Consider the following 18,917-nt stretch of genomic DNA (forward strand, 5'->3'; position numbering starts at 1 on the left):
CAGGTTGTAGCATGCATCAGAAGTTTCTTCCCCTTAAAAGCTGAATAATATTCCACAATAAGTATATATCACATTCTATTTATCCATCCATCAATCACTGAACATTTGGGTTGTTTCTACCTTTTGGCTATTGTAAATAAAACCTTCTATGGACATAAGTGTACAAATATCTGTCGAAGTCCTTGCTTTTGCTTATTTTGGGTAAATAACCAGAGAGGGAATTGCTGGATAATATAGTAAACCTGTGTTTCATCTTTTGAGGAATCATCACACCATTTTTTTTTTTTAAGGCAGAGTCTCGCTCTGCTGCCAGGCTGGAGCGCAGTGGTGAGATCTCACTCACTGCAACCTCCGCCTCCCAGGTTCAAGCAATTCTCCTGCCTCAGCCTCCCAAGTAGCTGGGATTACAGTCGCGCGCCACCACCCCCAGCTACTTTTTGTATTTTTAGTAGAGACAGGGTTTCGCCATGTTGGCCAGGCTGGTCTTGAACTCCTGACCTCAGGTGATCTGCCCACCTTGGCCTCCCAAAGTGCTGGAATTACAGGCATGAGCCACTGCGCCCGGCCGCACCACACCATTTTCTACAGCAGCTGCACCATTTTACATTCCTCCCAGCAATGCACAAGGGTTCAAATTTCTCCACATCCTTGCCAACATGTTATTTGCTGGTTGTGTTTTCTTCAATAGCGCTTTTGGTTTTCATTGAATAATGATCTCAGCTAGTGCTGAAGAGTCTCTTTAAAAGCTACCTAAGACTCGGCATATTTTAAATTTACTCCCAAGGATCAGATCACATTCAAGCCGATCACAGGCGGAATCAAGGGGGCAGCCTCCAGAATGGGCTGGCTCTTGTTCCCTCTCCTCCTTAGGTCTCCTACTCAAAGGACAACCTCTCCCCTCCCACCAACTGCTCCACCCTGCAGAATCTTCCAAGCGGCCCCATGAGCTGAGCCTCCTGCCTGTCTCTAAGTCTCCACGAATCACCACGCTCAGAAAAGCAGGTGCAGGAGAGCCTGAAGGCCTAATCTCCAAGAGTTTAGAAGGCAGGTGTTTATGGGATCAGGGGCCTGCTCTGAAGACTGGGCGAAGGCCCTGGGGATGCTCTTGTTGGGACCTGTTTTTTTCTTCCATCTGCCCCTAGATTCAGATGTGCGGCAGTCTGACCTGGAATAGACCATCAGCAGGTCCCACAAGGGTATCAGCACTTTTTCCATTTCTTTCAAACCTCCAACTCCCCTCTCCCACACTCTCATCTCCTCTCATACTTTAAACTGAAAAAACAGAAACTGCCGGCCAGGAAGCGCCTGTTTTCTACCCTTCCAAACCCACAAACCTCCTTTTTCTTCCCCCTTGTCACAAGGCGGAAATACTGCAACTCATCTCTTTGAAGGCCCGTCCAGGGGGTGTTCCAGTTCTCAGCCCCAGACCTCCTCAGAGACCCTGCACCATTCGTCAGCCCCCTCCCTCTAAATTCTCAATTTCTACCTCTACAGTCTTCCCATCTGCAGCCAAAGAGTGTCTCCCATCTCACCACCCATCCCCACCACAACATACCCTCTCTCTCTGTCCTCTTCACAGCCAAGCCCCTTGGCAGAGCGGACACCAGCCTCCATGCTGCCTTCAGCTCCTCACCTCAGATTCACCCTCAACTGCTCCCACCTGGTGAGGTCTGACCGCCCTCTTCTTCAGGCAGGTGATGTGCTGCTGTAATTAAGCAATGTGAATGACTAATTCACTGTTGTGCTTTGTTTTTATCTTGCCTGGAATAGCAGAGCTACATGGGTAGTTAGACTAATTCTATTACACTGGGTTCATGGTACATTTCTTTTCCTTTCCCCATAGTTTTAATGGTTACTTTATAGTTTGATACCACAGATCATAGTATAAGCGACCATAAAGTCTTTGGAGCTAAAAGTTCTAGAAAGACAAGGAGAGACACACCTGGTTCAGTTTGTATTTAACTCAAAAAGCAATTTCAAGGCAATGATGATATAAATTATAGCCCAAAGTGTGAAAAAACAATATGTAGCCATTTAATTCTAAATCCCCAGTGATGGGCATAGAGAAGCTCTCAATAAATGTTTGTCAAGTGTGTAAATGAATGATATAAAGTCAAAAGGGAAAACCACAGATGTTACATGCTTGACAAACAGCATGGCCAACTGTGCGTGCCTACCGACACACACCAGACACCTGCACAGAGAGACGAAACAGGTGAAGCATGGGATGAGGAGCTGCAGGCTGATATCCTTTTGTTGTTGTTGTTGTTTTTTGTTTCTTGTTTAATAGCATCACAGGGAATACAAGGTGGAGGGGGCGTGCCAGAGTGCTCTGCAATACAGTTCTACGCTCTGTGTGTTCCATTTGGTAGAAAACATGGTTTTGGTTCTCTATTCCCATACCCCTTGATGGCAGGAGAGATAAGGTCTCCTTGCAAAACTCCTACCAGGCGGGAGCTGCGGGTATGGTCATCTTTGGAAACAGTCTGCCACTGGGGACTTTAAGGACGTTTCCTTCCTGAAGTTGCAGGAAATCCTATCAAGGCACTTCTGTGATGGTGGATTATTCCTAATGATTCATGGGCCAGCAGGTGGGGCTGCATCTGGCTGGCCTACTCTGTCCCACATAGCGTCAGCCTGGGTGTTCTTGAATGAAGTCCCAGTGGCCAGCAGCTGGGCTAAGCTGAGGATCACTCACACGATGCCTGCCTGGTCCATACACGTCCCCCCACCCCGACCCCTTGCCTGATTGCTCTGGCTGGGACTTTCAGTACTATGTTAAATAGGAGTGGTGAGAGTGGACACTTCCTAACTCAATCTCTTATCTTGAGTTTCTTCGTTGTGTGGCAACTGGTGTCCCCAGAGACAGGATTTCTGTCATGGCACGGCCTCAGAAGCCACTCAACCTCACTTCTGCAGTCTCAGACTCAGGGGAAGGGGAAGGGAAAGGGATGCTGACAGACGCTCCCCCTTGATAGGAGGAGAGATAAGATCTTCTTGCAAAAATCCTGCCAGATGGGAGCTGCAGGTATGGTCATCTTTGGAAACAGTCTGCTGCTGGGCCTTTAAGGACGTTTCCTTTCTGGACCTGCAGCAAAGCCTATTTCAAGGCACTCTTGCTTAGCAGGCAGCCTGGTGAGTAGACTCTAAGAACAGTTTCATGAAGCCCTGGGTGTTCTTTTTAAATATCTCAGTTGACATGAACACAAAAATGAGCAGCTGGGTCTGGAGCAGGTGGAAGAGTAACCTGAGGCCATCTAGTGGCATTAAGACCAGCCATGGTGGGGACCTTTATGCGACCTGCCCACCATGGGCTCTGGAATCTTGACCACAGCCCCTAGCAGGGGACCCTGATCCATTTCTGTCTCTCTACAGTATTACCTGGGGGTTTTAGTTTTGTCACTTGGAATTGCATAAACAGTGTTTTAGTACAGTTATTTTTATTGGGGTAAAATATACGTAACACAGAATTTACCATCTTACCCATTTTGGGCAACATGACACAGTGGCATTAAGCATGTTCACATTGTTGGGCAACTGTCACCACTCGGGAGGCTGAGGCAGGAAAATTGCTTGAACCTGGGAGGCGGAGGTTGCAGTGAGCTGAGATCACGCCACTGCACTCCAGCCTGGGCAACAGAGCAAGACTCTGTCTCAAAAAAGGAGAAGAAGAAGGAGAAGGAGAAGTGAATTCATACAATATTTGTTCCTTTGTGTCTGGCTTATTTCACTTCACGTGATGCCCTCAAGGTTCATCCATGTCATAGCATGTGTCAGAATTCCATCCCCTTTCAAGGGTAGATAATATTCCATTGTATGAGTAGACCACACTTTTATATATTCATTCATCAGGGAATGCTTGAGTGGTCTCTACCTTTGGGCTATTGCGAATAAGCCTTCTGTGAACATAGGAGCAGAAATATTAAAAATGATTCATAAAGGAAAATTTATTCAGCCAGTACTTGAGCATCTGTTCTGGACCAGACGCTGTGCCAGGGACCACGATAAACAAAACTGTAGGCACAGCCAACCGTCTCCTGGAGCTCAGAGCCTAAAGCGGACAGAGAATCAGTGCGGTGAGGTAACCGTCAGGACAGGAGGAACAGGTGCCCCGTGGACACATGAAGCCTGACCCAACTCCAAGAAAAGGCCCCAGAGGGTGGTGTGACTTGGAATCTGGGATCTGAAAAGTCAGACCGGGGCAAGGATGTGGGAGCAAACAGGAGTGGGCAGAGAAAGAGGCAGAGACCCAGGAGCATCTGAGTCTGAGGGTGAAACTTGTAGGTGAGTGGCAAGCACCCAGGCCAAGGGACATGGGGGTTAGAGTGGGTGGTGTCGGCCTTGTGAGCCTGTTAACAAGCTTGGGTTTATCTTAAAATCATAGAAGTCACTGAAACATTTCAAATAAGGAAGTGACAGGATCTAGTCTACATTGTACATGATCAGCCTGTCTGTGGTGTGAGTGGATTTGAGTGGATAAAGGCAAAAGTTCAGGCAGGAAGCTATTGTTCACAGCCAAGCCATCAAGGACAGAGGCCTGAGCTCATTGACTAGCAGGGAAGGAGACAAGGCACAGTTGGTGGGGGGTGACTGAATCCAGGAAGTGAGAGAGAAGTTGGCACTAAGGAAAGAAAGCCACAGGTAGTTATTAAACAGTGGATTCAAGCATAAATCCAGGTGCGGTGAAATATTGATGCTGTCGAGTGGGATCTGGTGCTCATGTTCAGTTCTCTTCCAAGGACCTGGGGATATCTTGGTCTTTGGTCAGATTTTTCTTCATCAGCCTCATTCCCTGCAACCTGTTAGGCCTCCTGGATGACGCATATCCAAAGAGTTACCATTTTCGGAGCATAATCTATGTCCTGTGAGCCTCAAAACAGTCTATAATGAATCGATTTGTGTCCCCCTAAAATTAACATATGGAAACCCTGACCCTTAATATGACTACTTGAAGATAGGGGCTATAGGGAGGTATAAAGGTTAAATGAGGTTGTAAGCATGAGACCTTAATCTGACAGGACTAGTGTCCTTACAGGAAAAGGAACAGATGTTACAGATGTCTTTCTCTGCGTGTACATAGAGAAGAGGCCACGTGAGGACACAGCAAGAAGGCAGCCATCCACAAGCCAGGAAGAGACCCCTCCCCAGAAAACAACCCTGACAGCATCTGAATCTCAGACTTCCAGCCTCCAGAACTGGGAGAAAATGCATTTCTGTTATTTAAGCTACCCAGTCTGTGATATTCAGTATGACAGCCCAAGCAAGCTATGCACAGTCTTTAAGAGGTAGGCATTATCATCCCCGTTTATAGATGAGGAAACAGGCTCAGAGAGATTGACTTGACTAAGATCCACAGGTGGTAAGCTGCTCATCCGCTGCCCTGCAGTGGAGTCTTCCTTATAGCAAGCCTTTTGTTTTTGCAGAGAACTTTGTAGGCATATCTTTGAAGAACCACCCATTTGACAACTCTATTTCTAAAGCTCCAGCAGTGGCTCTGCATTACAGCCTGCTGTGCAGATCCACACAACGATGGAACTACAGGGCCTGCTCTGCAAGATCACCCCAGAGATGGCTTCCCAGTCTTGGAGATGCAGAGATTTGCTGTACTTCTCTGTCCTCCTGCAATAGTGACAGATGTTTTCAGTCAGCTATACACTTTTCAGCTGGAAAAGCGTGACTTTGTGGCTATATAGGATTCCCCATGAGTCCCCTGCACCTCTCTTCTGTAACCGCGATGCTACAAAGTGTGCAGAGGAGCCCTGCGGCAGGGTTTCCAGTCACCTTCCTGTAAGCACCCTGCACTCCCAACCGTCTGGCTACAAGTCCAGTGGGACATGAGCCTTACTGAAGCAAGCTTTGACGTTTTAGTTTGAACCAGATGAAATTATGATTTTTAGAGGTAAAAATGATCAAATATCAGCAATTTCATATGAATCAATGTAATCAATGCAGCTGGCCCTCACTCCTGCCCCCTCCCTCTCATTCAATCCTCTCAGGCTGCCCTCAGATCACCCCAGATCCCTGGCTTCCTCCTCCCACCCTCCCTGGCGGAGTCCCCGTGATGGACAGAGATGGACACCTGCGAGAGAAGTCCACAAAGGAAGAGAGAGGAAATGGTCAGAGAGGTAGGAGGACAGTGTCAGGGCCCAGAACCCATTACCCCAACATATGGCCCCTTGGCCTCCTGAGTATTTTCTATGGAAGCAGATGGAGAAAACGGCAGGAGCAAGAAGGTCACTCTCTGACCCACACTTCTCCTTTCTCCCCTGAGCATGGTCAGAAAGGAATTCTCCGACTTGCCTTGCTTGAAAGTAGGTCAGGAGACTCTCATTCCAGAGAGGTCCTGGCTCGGTCCCCATACCCCTTCTCCCCTCTGGCCTCATGAAGCTTCTGCTTAAGGAGGGCTCCATGTCCGTCTTTAGCATCTCAGGGTGAATTAAGTCCCTGCCCTCTAAGGGCATTTTCATGTGAAGCTTTGTTCTCTGTGACATAAGAGGAGAGGGATGTTTAGAGGAGTTGGGGGAGGAGACTCCAGGGGATTTTCTTGTCCCCACAGATACATCTCTCCACATAGCAAAATACATGCAAAGCACCCGGCACAGTGCCCAGCACACAGTCAGTGCTCATGAAGTGTCGGTTCCCTCTGCCCACTGCAGTGGGTACAAACAACACACAGGGTGCCAAGCTTCAGCTTGGTGAAGAGAAACATAGCCCGCGTTCCAGCTCCCGGGCCTTGTCCTCTGCGTCACAGCTCAAGGCTAAAGCAGCTGAGGCCCTGGCATTTCTTGTGGTGAGGATGGACCAGCAAGTCTGTTCCCCGTGGCCCCAGAAGTGCTGCTGCCTGCCTGCTGCTGCTCTGTGTCTCCAGCTCCTCCCTCCGTGCCTCACCAAAGCCCACTCCACCTCCCTCCCCTCCCAATCCTCCTGGAGCTCCCACCTCTCATCTTTCCTTCCACTGTGGGGCAGGTGGCGATCTGTAGGCCGACCCGAGAAAGAACTGCCCCTACCCTGCCTGAGAGGCTCAAAGCCAGGGGCACTGATCCAGCTTTCAGCTCTGAGAGGATGGACCAGGATATTTCCCTGATGCCCTCAGGGGTCTGAGGGTAAAGTGGGTCAGAAGCAAGACAGAGGGAGGCACTGAGCTGAGCACAGATGGGAAAAGGAAGATCTTGTGGCCCAGAGCTAAAGAAGACACAACCCTGTGAGCAGAAGACCCTATCCCAGCAGGGAAAGGCACGTCCTGGTGTGGGAGAGTTGCAAACCCCTCTAGGTAGCTTCCTGCCTGTGCCTTTACTCTAGGGAGCTGGTGTCAGAATCAAGGGCACCATCAAAATAAGATGCCAGGGACATCTCAGCTGTGTCAAACAAATGCCCAAAGACCCTGCTATTGCAGCTGGGGGTGGGACAGCAGCCTCCTCACAGGCCCACCCTGCCCTTTATGGCACAGCCCAGGACCCACTGTCAAAGCTGTCTCTTCCCAGTCTCAAAGCACTGTCTCGTCTGTCGCCTCATTTGTGACTCACTATAGGCCTCTGGGTCAGGCAGGACAAATGTCACTTCAATTTCATATAAAGGGAAACTAAGGCAAGGGGTGCACTAAGTGACTTGGACCAAGGGATAAGTGAATTGAGGTCAGGACTCAGATCTCCTTGGCTCCACACCAGACAACCTGCCACATGGAGGCCTCACCCTAATCTTAACACTTCCATGGATCCATGGCTTCATCAGCCACCACAGGAGTACAAGGCCACAGTAATTGCATGCATGTCCGCATGTGTGTGCAGATGTGCACGTGTGTATGCATGTGTGCAGATGTGTATGTGAGTGTGCATGTGTGCATGTATGTATGAGTGTGTGCAGATGTCCACGTGTGTGCGTGTGTGCAGATATGTACGTGTGTGTGCATGTGTGTATGTGTGCAGATGTGCATGTATGTGTGTGTGCATGTGTGCAGGTGTGTGCGCACATGTGTACTGTGTGTGCATGTGTGTAGATGTCCACGTGTGTGCATGTGTGCAGGTGTGCACGTGTGTACAGATGTGCACGTGTGTATGCGTGTTTGCACATGTGTGCATGTGTGCATGTGTGTATGCGTGTGTGCAGGTGTGTACCTGTTCGCATGTGTGTAGCTGTGCACGTGTGTGCATGTGTGCAGATGTGTACGTGTGTGCACATGTGTGCAGATGTGCACGTGTGTGTGCATGTCACATGTGTGCATGTTTAATGCATTGCTTACTGAGGAAAGAGGAAAAGTGTTGGCAGTTCCTGATGTTTTTCTCCGTCTTGGATATTGTAGGTGTCACTTCCAGGAAAGCCAGACAGCCATGGCATGTCAGGAGGGGGGTTGGGTCCCAGGACAAAACCTATGAAGTGAAGATGAACCCACAACATAGGAGTCCTGCAGTGAGCCCAGCCTGCTCTCCACAGAGATGTGAGCTGCCCTCTCCCAGCCAAGCCCTGGTGTGGGAACAGATGTGAGGAGGCAGGGGCAGGTCCCTGAGATCCCTCCTCTGGGCATAATTTGCTGGAGAGGAGATCACAGAGAAAACATCTGCACAGCCTCTGTTATCTCCTTAGGGGAGCGGGAGCCCCCATCACACACACACACACACACGCGCGCACGCACACACACGCACACACGATGCTTTTTAGTTTGGGCTTTCCTGACCAGAAAAATTCCTAAACATTGTTTCTTAAACGTTTTAGGCTGTAACCAACAGTCATAAAAATGTTTTCTGGTGAGATTCAGTGTACACATACATCTATTGACAATTACACAAGTGTTTCAAGACACTGCTTATAATAAAGCTGCCCAGAAGAGGGCACTGGTGGCAAAGCCAGGCCTGAGATTTTTGTCCTTGCTGGAATTTTTGGAGGATTTTAGCTGCGGATCTAGATCCATTAGAAGGTGGTGACATCCATTTGGTCGGTTATGACTAACCCTTAGAAGAATAGCATAGCGCAGCACAGCACAACAGAAACTATCAGAATGCATCAAATGTCACAAAGGTAAGCACTGTGTTGGGAAACACTTGTTTCATTGCCAATAGATGTGTGTATCTGGGGGTCACCTTGTGAAACGTCTTATGACTGTGGGTGGCATTTACAGCAGTTTGAGACACAGTGTTTAGAAGCTTTCCTGAAAAGATGTCAGAGTGAGGAAGGACTAGCCTTGCAGACTTTTGAAGACAGGAAAGGTGTGGCTGGAGGTGGTGGGAGGGGACACCAGGTGCCCCACCCTGAGGAGTGTGGGGAGAGCGGCAGCCAGGCCAGCACAGCATGCGGCTTCCTGGGGTCCAGTGCTTTCTCCTCAGGAACTGGATGGGAAGAGTAGCAGAAGCACCTCTTTTTCCCCAGCATAGAAAGAAGAATCGAGTGAGTAAGGAAAAGCATGGAAAGAGTCCCAACCAGCGGCGCTTGACAAATCACTCAACTGCCCTGTGCCTTCATGTCCCCATCAGCAAAATGGGGCGGTGGGGGTGACAGACCTTCTACTTTTCTGACTAAGTGAAACACAGTCAATATAAAAAAGGGAAATACCCAAAGCTCCTTATGAGATAACAGTCTCTAAATTGATTTTTAGGGAATACAAATTAATACCTGACCACCTTCCCTAGAAATCAGGAAAAGCATATAATTTAACCTATGTTGGTTTTCTAGAGTGCTTGGTGCACCGAGGCACCTGCTAAATCATGCCTTAAGGAGATCCCACAAACTAGTAAACTAAGAGGGTCTCAGGAGAGGAAGATAACACAGAGAGTTTCTCATTAATTGCCCTAGAGTGGCGGAACCCCGAAGGGTACAGGCATTCAGAGAAGGTTGAGGGCAGGGTGACCTTAGTAGGTACCATGCACAGGGTCAAATACTAGCTGGATCTGCAAGAGCCGGGGTGATTTGCATAAGAAGAAAATATAATAGGGAGGCCTTAGCTAGCTGAGAGTAAGAGCAAGTCTTGAAGGTATAAATACTGCGGTCTGCACTCTACCAGCCTTCCTGCACATCTATAAATCATCCAAGTCTCTGTGCTGTGCCATGAGCAGGCATGGAGTCACCCTCAGAGGTGTAGGGTGGCACCAGGGACCAGCAAGTCAGTGGTCTCATCTGGGAATGAGGTTGGAATGCAGCTGTGCTTCTTGAACTGCAGGCTGACCCAGCAGAGATTGTGAATCAAAATTTTAATAAAAATAGAACAGACTAAAGTGGACTGGGACTCACCAGGGTGCAATGCATGCACTGAGGGTAAGCAAAGGGCATGAGGCTTCATTCCATCAGGTGTGTCTGTGCGTGATGAGAAGCTGTCAAATCTACTTCTCATCGAGTTTCCATCAAAGGCCTGGAAGCCATAGACTAGATGCCCCATGAGGTCCCTCACAGCCCTGCTGTTCACCTACTGAGTGACCGTAGAGTGGTTGTAGGCAGCTGCTTATGTGCTCTTGCTGATGAGGGGGTGGCAGGGCGGGAGAAATCGGGGGACGGGCATAAGTTTGGGTGAAAGTTGAGGGTCACTGGGGAAAACAGCATCAGCTCATGCAAACACGGGAGCCAAGGCCATTCCCCAAAAGAACTTCATGGGCCTAGGATTCTTTCCGCTTTCTCAACACCTTTGACCCCAGAGTGCCTTCACTGCCCCAAGTCAGAACTGCAGGCTTATGAGACAGGCTGCGGGTGAGGAGCTGGCCATTCCCACTGAGCAGGCCTGGAAGATGCCAGGGGCAGGCCAGAACTTCTTGGGTAGGCAACTTCCCCAAACCTGCATGTAAGCACAAAGTGGGCGTCCCTTCACTAAGGATCAGAGCAAAGTGCTTTCTGGGGGTGCAGCTGCCCCTATGGGTGGCCACTTCTCAGCCTCCAGGAACAAGCCCCATGAGCTCTCTGTTCCAGGCTCTCCTACCAGGATGACAAAAATCGGCAACTGATGCTCCCAGAGGAGGACAAGAGGGACATCCGGCAATCTCCAAAGAGGGGTTTCCTCCGCTCTGCCTCACTAGGTAAATGCACCGCTCGCTTTCTGGATGTGGTCGGTGGTTACTCCCTAGAGAACACTGGTCAGGGATGATTGGGAAATCGTTGTGGCCTGCCTCAAATCAGCCCCACACAGTGGGGGCATTTCCAAAGCAAGGAGACAACATTCCAAAGGCAGGGTGTGCAGGGATGAGCCCTGGACACCAGAATACGTCTCAGACGAGGGGAGGGGAAAGGAGGAGTGTCTCGGGCCATAGTTACTGCTCCTGGCACCCCACCAGAGTGTGAATTGTCACAGGCCAGCGTCCTGTTTTCCTGCCCTGATCCTGGCTCTCTGGCTGGCTTTGCAGGTCAAAGAGCCTCCTTCCACCTGGAATGTCTGAAGTGACAGAAGGACCGAGGGGGAGACATCTCTCAGAAGACAGTCCTGCCCTTGCATCTGGTTCATCATCAGGTAGCTCACACTTTTGGACAGGCCACTGTCACCTGCCAGCAGGCCAGACAGTCCCCAGGGTGATGGACAAATCCTGAAGACATCAGTGGGTCTTCCCTGTCTCGATGGCTGGCACGTCCAGGAGTCCAGGAGAAACAGGTCTTTCCATGCCCAAGTTGGTACCTTTTTGGGTGAGAACACTCTGAAAATGAAGACTCTGTAAGTTATTTTGAGCCACACAAGATCAGAGATAGCCATGTCCAAGCATATTTGTGTCTGTCCACAATTGCAGGCTTTTATTCATTTATTTCCATAATAAAAGTCGTGAGCTACATGAAGGGTCCAAGGAGACAATTCTCCATAGAGCCTATTTCTACAAAGGAATTACTCATAGCAAGAGTGCTATGTACAGAAGTCATCCAAAGGGACGTGTAAAGTAACCAACCTTTGGATGGTTACTTTACACCATCCTTTACAATAGGCCTGACAATACACACCCACCACTCCTAAAGGCAAAGAAATAGAACAAATGTTTAGGAGAAGGATAGAGTGGAACCCTGGTCGTCGGGGTTTTTAACCTCATCAAACCATCATAGAAAAGGTGGCAAAGGAGGATGACGGCATCTCTGTCCCTAGAGGCCTAGAATAATTAAAATATATTTAGAAACAATTCAGCAAAGAGGCCACAAAAGGGGCCTGCTGATTCCCAGAAGACCTCTTTAAATCCCAAGGGAGGAAACTACTTGCTGATGGAGCCTGGGCCAATTTTGTTTTTTAAACAAGATCTGCCTCTGAGGCAAATGTCAGCACAGAGAGGACTGGGAGAATGGAGGCAAGAAAAGGGCATAGTTTGACTCCCTCTGTGTCTCTTCCCAGTTCATGGAGGGACGTGTTCAGCTCACTCACCTACAGTGACCAGTGTGGTGGAGCCGCTGACATCTCAAAGATCTATTTGGGAAGGTGAGAAGAGTACTCGTTCCATCTGGGGGTGTTGTCCCAGCCACCTCAGCCTAGCTGGTGGGATGTGGGGGTGTCTGCCGCCCTGTCCCCCCTCTGCTGATGTCCCTCCCCTCAGGCTGTCCAGGTGCCACCTGACACAGGCTGCTGTGCAAAGGCAGGCGGGGAAGCCCAAACCTCACTCCCAGGGAGGCCTCAGCCGCCAGAGTCCAGGTTCTCCAGAGGCTACGATTTGAAGAGGTTGAGGGGGAAGATAGGAGGGAAAGAAGAGTCCTACAACTGTCAGGAATGGGGCACCTTTCCCTGTAACTAAGCAAAGCTCCCTCTTCCCACTGCCCTCCCCAGCCCCAGCTCCCTGTCCTCCCCAACACCTAGTGAGAAAGACGGTGCGTGGAAGGGAGTCCCATGGGCAGATGCTTACACGGCCTCTTTGCGAAGCTTCTTCTGGGTTTAACTTCATTCATCAATTTATTTTTATGTCAAAGCAATGAAACGTTTCTTTCTGGAGCCAGATACCAATATAACAGGTGAACGGGTTTCTGCCACATCTCTACATTGACGGGGGATGCTTGAACCACCTCCCCAGGACACACACCGTTAAGGCCCAAGGGCTGGGGTTGAGCTCTAGATAAGGGAATTGCCTACACCTGGAAGGGTGGACACTGCGTAGACAAACATGGAGGGAGAACCAGAGTGACTTCCTTGTGTAAAAAATTGACTTTCTTGGGGGAGACGAAAACCCAGAAATAATACAAGGTCAACACATGCAATACTAAATTCAATACTTACATGCTAGCAATAAATAACTGGAAATTTTAAATGTTGCAAAAATTACATTTATAATACTTCTGAAAAATGAAATTCTTAGGTATACAAGATTGTCTACTCTGAAAACTTAAAAAGTGCTATAAACAAAATCAAAGAAGGTCTAAATAAATGAAGAGATATTCACGGATGGGAAGATTCAACATAGTAAAAATTTCAATTCTCCCCAGATTGATCTGTAACTTAAATACAAATCCATCAAAATCCTAGCATAGGATATTTTGTCTATATAGACAAACTGATTTTTAAATTTATATGCAAAAGTGAAGGTAAAAAGATGAATTTAGTTTCATTTAGATGAAAATACTGTGCTACAGTATTTTAAGTCCTACTTTAATGCAAGAGTAATCACAATCATGTGGTTTATTGAAGGAATGGACACAGAGACCAATGGAACAGAATACAGAGTACAGAAATGAATCTACACAAATATGGCCAAGTGATTTCTGACAAAGGTGCAAAAGTAACTCAATAGAGAAAGGGCATTTTTTCCACAAATGCTATGGGAATAATGGAATTTTCATGTGCAAAATTTGAACCTCAACCTGAAATTCCTCCTAATATCAAAATTAGTTCCAAAGGGTCACAGATTTAAATGTAACATGCAAGACTATAAAACTTTTAGAAGAAAACATAGGAGAAATATTCAACATCTAGTTCTTAGACATGACACCAAAATAACAATTCATATGTGGAAAAACTTATAACATGGACTTCATCAAAATGTGGGACTCTTGATCTGTGAAGGATCCTATTAAGAGGATGAAAAGACATGCTACAGACTGAGTGAAAACATCTGCAAGCCATATAGCAGACAAAAGACTTATATCCAGAATCCATGAAGAACTCTCAAAACTCAACACATTTTAAAAAAAAACAATCTCGGCCGGGCGCGGTGGCTCATGCCTGTAATCCCAGCACTTTGGGAGGCCAAGGTGGGAGGAACATGAGGTCAGGAGATCTAGACCATCCTGGCTAACATGGTGAAACCCCGTCTCTACTAAAAATACAAAAAATTAGCCAGATGTGGTGGCACACGCCTGTAGTCCCAGCTACTCAGGAAGCTGAGGCAGGAGAATCACTTGAACCCGGGAGGCAGACGTTGCAGTGAGCCAAGATCACAGCACTGCACTCCAGCCTGGGTGACAGAGCGAGACTCCGTCTCAAAAAAAAAAAAAAAAACAATCCCATGAGAAAATGGGCAAAAGACATGAATAGACATTTCACCAAAGAAAGGATGTGAACAGCACATGCACACATATAAATATGATCAGCACCATTAGCCCCTTAGGGGAATGGAAATTCAAGCCACATGAGCTATTGCTATGCCTGTTAGAATGGATAACATCAAAAAAAAAAAAATTAAAACACCAAATGCTAGCAAGAATGCTAAGAAACTGGACAGCTCATGCACCATTTGTGTGACTAGACCTTCCCTTTCTTCCCTTCCCTTCCCTTCCCTTCCCACAGCCACTGTGGAAAATATTTTGGCAGTTTCTTATAAAACCAAACATACACTTGCCATGTGACTCAGCAATTGTACTCTTTGGCATTTACCCCAAAGAAGGAAAATTTCTTTCTCCCTATTTAAGGAAAAGACCACTTAGCGTCTTTGAAGAATGTTCTTTTTCTTTTCTTTCTTTCTTTTTTTTTTTTTTTTTAACAGATCTCACTCTGACGCCCAGGCTGGAGTGCTGTGGTGTGATCTCACTCACTACAACCTCTGCCTCCAGGGTTTGAGTAATTCTCCCATCTCAACCTCCCGAGTAGCTGGGACTACAGGCATGCTCCACCATGCCTGGCTAATTTTTTTATTATTTTTTTTATTATACTTTAAGTTCTGGAATACATGTGCAGAACGTGCAGGTTTGTTACAAAGGTATACACATGCCATGGTGGTTTGCTGCACCCATTAACCTGTCATCTACATTAGGTATTTCTCATAATGGTATCCCTTCTTTAGCTCCCCCACCCCCAGACTGGCCCGGTGTGTGATGTTCCTCTCCCCGTGTCCATGTGTTCTCATTGTTCAACTCCCGCTTGTGAGTGAGAACATGCGGTGTTTGGTTTTTTGTTCCTGTGTTAGTTTGCTGAAAATGATGGCTTCCAGCTTCATCCATGTCCCTGCAAAGGACATTAACTCATCCTTTTTTATGGCTACATAGTATTTTAAAGTGTACATGTGCCACATTGTCTTTATCCAGTCTATCATACATGGGCATTTGGGTTGGTTCCAAGTCTTTGCTATTGTGAATAGTGCTGCAATAAACATACGTGTGCATGTGTCTTTAAAGTAGAATGATTTATAATCCTTTGGGTATATACTCAGTAACGGGATTACTGGGTCAAATGGTATTTCTGGTTCTAGATCCTTGAGGAATCGCCACACTGTTTTCCACAACGGTTGAACGAATTTACACTCCCACCAACAGTGTAAAAGTGTTCCTATTTCTCCACATCCTCTCCAGCATCTGTTGTTTCCTGACTTTTTAATGATCACCACTCTAACTGGAGTGAGATGGTATCTCATTGTGGTTTTGATTTCCATTTATCTAATGGCCCGTGATGATGAGCTTTTTTTCATATGTTTGTTGGCCACATAAATGTCTTCTTTTGAGAACTGTCTATTCATATTCTTCACCCACTTTTTGATGGGGTTGTTTTTTTCTTGTAAATTTGTTTAAGTTCTTTGTAGATTCTGGATATTAGCCCTTTGTCAGATGGATAGATAGCAAAAATTTTCTCCCATTCTGTAGGTTTCTTGTTCACTCTGATGATAGTTTCTTTTGCTGTGCAGAAGCTCTTTAGTTTAATTAGATCCCATTGGTCAATTTTGGCTTTTGTTGCCATTGCTTTTAGTGTTTTAGTCATGAAGTCTTTGCCCATGCCTATGTCCTTAATGGTATTGCCTAGGTTTTCTTCTATGGTTTTTATAGTTTTAGGTATTAAGTTTAAGTCTTTAATCAGTCTTGAGTTAATTTTTGTATAAGGTGTAAGGAAGGGATCCAGTTTCTGTTTTCGGCATAGGGCTAGCCAGTTTTCCCAACATCATTTATTAAATAGTGAATCCTTTCCCCATTTCTTGTTTTTGTCAGGTTTCTCAAAGATCAGATGGTTGTAAATGTATGATGTTACTTCTGAGGCCTCTGTTCTGTTCCACTGGTCTATATATCTGTTTTGGTACCGGTACCATGCTGTTTTGGTTACTGTAGACTTGTAATATAATTTGAAGTCGGGTAGCATGATGCCTCTAGCTTTGTTCTTTTTGCTTAGGATTGTCTTGGCTATATGGGCTCTTTTTTGGTTCCATATGAAATTTGAAGTAGTTTTTTCTAATTCTGTGAAGAAAGTCAATGGTAGCTTGATGGGGATAGCATTGTCTATAAATTACTTTGGGCAGTATGGCCACTTTCACGATATTGATTCCTCCTATCCATGAGCATGGAATGTTTTCCCATTTGTTTGTGTCCTCTCTTATTTCCTTGAGCAGTGATTTGTAGTTCTCCTTGAAGAGGTCCTTCACATCCCTTGTAAGTTGTATTCGTAGATATTTTATTCTCTTTGTAGCAATTGTGAATGGGAATTCACTCATGATTTGGCTCTCTGTTTGTCTATTATTGGTGTATAGGAATGCTTGATTTTTGTACCCTGATTTTGTATGCAGAGATTTTGCTGAAGTTGCTTATCAGCTTAAGAAGTTTTTGGGCTGAGATGATGGGGGTTTCTAAATATAGAATCATGTCATCTGCAAACAGAGACAATTTGACTTCCTTTCCTCCCATCTGAATACCCTTTATTTCTTTCTCTTGCCTGATTGCCCTGGCCAGAACTTCCCATACTATCTTGAAAAGGAGTGGTGAGAGAGGGCATCCTTGTCTTGTGCCAGTTTTCAGAGGGAATGCTTCCAGTTTTTGCCCATTCAGTATGATATTGGCTGTGGGTTTGTCATAAATAGCTCTTAATTATTTTGAGATACATTCCATCGATACCTAGTTTATTTAGAGTTTTTAGCATGAAGGGATGTTGAATTTTATCAAAGGCCTTTTCTGCATCTATTGAGATAATCATGTGGCTTTTGTCATTGGTTCTCTCTATGTGATGGATTACGTTTATTGATTTGCATATGTTGAACCAGCCTTGCATCCCAGGGATGAAGCCAACTTGATCCTGGTGGATAAGCTTTTTGATGTCCTGCTGGATTCGGTTTGCCAGTATTTTATTGAGGATTTTTGCATCGATGTTCATCAGGGATATTGGCCTGAAATTTTTTTTTTTGTTGTGTCTCTGCCAGGTTTTGGTATCAGGATGATGCTGGCCTCATAAAATGAGTTAGGGAGGATTCCCTCTTTTTCTATTGTTTGGAATAGTTTCAGAAGGAATGGTACCAGCTCCTCTTTGTACCTCTGGTAGAATTCAGCTGTGAATCCTTGTGGTCCTGGGCTTTTTTTGATTAGTAGGCTATTAATTACTGCCTCGATTTCAGAACTTGATATTCAGAATTTCAGAAGGAATTAGACTTCTTCCTGGTTTAGTCTTGGGAGGGCGTATGCGTCCAGGAATTTATCCATTTCTTCTAGATTTTCTAGTTTATTTGCATAGAGATTTTTATAGTAATATATGATGGTAGTTTGTATTTCTGTGGGATCACTGGTGATATCCCCTTTATCATTTTTTATTGTGTCTTTTTTATTCTTCTCTCTTTTCTTCTTTATTAGTCTGGCTAGTGATCTATCTATTTTGTTAACCTTTTCAAAAAACCAGCTCCTGGTGGCTGGCAAGATGGCAGAATAGAAACAGCTCCGGTTTGCAGCTCCCAGCGACATCAAGGCAGAAGGCTGGTGATTTCTGCATTTCCAACTGAGGTACCTGGCTCATCTCATTGGGACTGGTTAGACAGTGAGTGCAGCCCACGGACAGCCAGCCAAAGTAGGGTGGGGCATCGCCTCATCCAGGAAGCTCAAGGGGTCAGGGAACTACCTCCCCTAGCCAAGGAAAGCAGTGAGGGACTGTGTCTTGAGGAACAGTGCACTCCAGCCCAGATACTGTGCCTTTCCCACCGTCTTTGCAACCCACAGAGCAGGAGATTCCCTCGGGTGCCTACGCCACCAGGGCCCAGGGTTTGAAGCACAAAACTGGGCAGCTGTTTGGAGAGACATCGAGTTAGCTGCAGGAGTTTTTTTTCTTACCCAAGTGGCACCCAGAACGCAAGCGAGACAGAACCGTTCACTTCCCTGGAAAGGGGGCTGAAGCCAGGGAGCCAAGTGGTCTAGCTTAGCAGATCCCACCTCCATGGAGCCCAGCAGGCTAAGGTCCACTGGCTTGAAATTCTCGTTGCCAGAACAGCAGTCTGAAGTCGACCTGGGATGCTTGAGCTTGGTGGGGGAGGGGTATCCTCTAACCTTTTTTCAGCGTTCTTAGTTTCCTTGCCTCCGCCGCGCTGCAGTGGATTCCACCCAGTTCGAACTTCCCGGAAGCTTTGTTTACACTGTGTAGAACTCTAGAGCTGTGCTTGGAGATCCGCTGCTCTTTTCCGAGCCAGCAGGCAGGAACATTTAAGTCTGCTGAAGCTGTGCCTACAGCCACTCCTCCCCCCAGGTGCTCTGTCCCAGGGAGATGGGAGTTTTATCTATAAGCCCCTGACTGGGGCTGCTGCCTTTCTTTCAAAGATGCCCTGCCCAGAGAGGAAGAATCTAGAGAGGCAGTCCGGCTACAGTGGCTTTGCCACACTGCAGTGAATTCC

At 46.7% G+C, this 18,917-nt stretch overlaps 2 long non-coding RNA genes and 1 pseudogene across 3 annotated transcripts in view; 2 read left to right on the plus strand and 1 right to left on the minus strand.

Moving 5' to 3' along the window:
• Positions 1-8,882: 8,882 nt before the first annotated feature.
• On the plus strand, positions 8,883-15,470 carry LINC02371 (long intergenic non-protein coding RNA 2371). Of its 2 annotated transcripts, NR_186579.1 has the most exons (5): positions 8,883-9,009; positions 10,882-10,988; positions 11,313-11,416; positions 12,272-12,355; positions 14,844-15,470. It is a non-coding gene; the product is annotated as a long intergenic non-protein coding RNA 2371 (long non-coding RNA). The 2 variants fall into 2 exon arrangements; NR_186578.1 differs by lacking the exons at positions 12,272-12,355; positions 14,844-15,470 and having other exon boundaries at positions 11,313-11,729.
• On the plus strand, positions 10,866-11,614 carry LOC100422463 (calcium voltage-gated channel subunit alpha1 C pseudogene; annotated as a pseudogene).
• Positions 11,434-18,917, minus strand: part of ITFG2-AS1 (ITFG2 antisense RNA 1) — a 70,299-nt gene continuing 62,815 nt past the window's right edge. Inside the window, exon 4 of the long non-coding RNA NR_146317.1 lies at positions 11,434-11,597. This is a non-coding gene — a long non-coding RNA (ITFG2 antisense RNA 1). The remainder of the gene's footprint in view (positions 11,598-18,917) is intronic.

This window comes from Homo sapiens, chromosome 12 (assembly GCF_000001405.40).
Source record: "Homo sapiens chromosome 12, GRCh38.p14 Primary Assembly".
Taxonomy (NCBI): domain Eukaryota; kingdom Metazoa; phylum Chordata; class Mammalia; order Primates; family Hominidae; genus Homo; species Homo sapiens.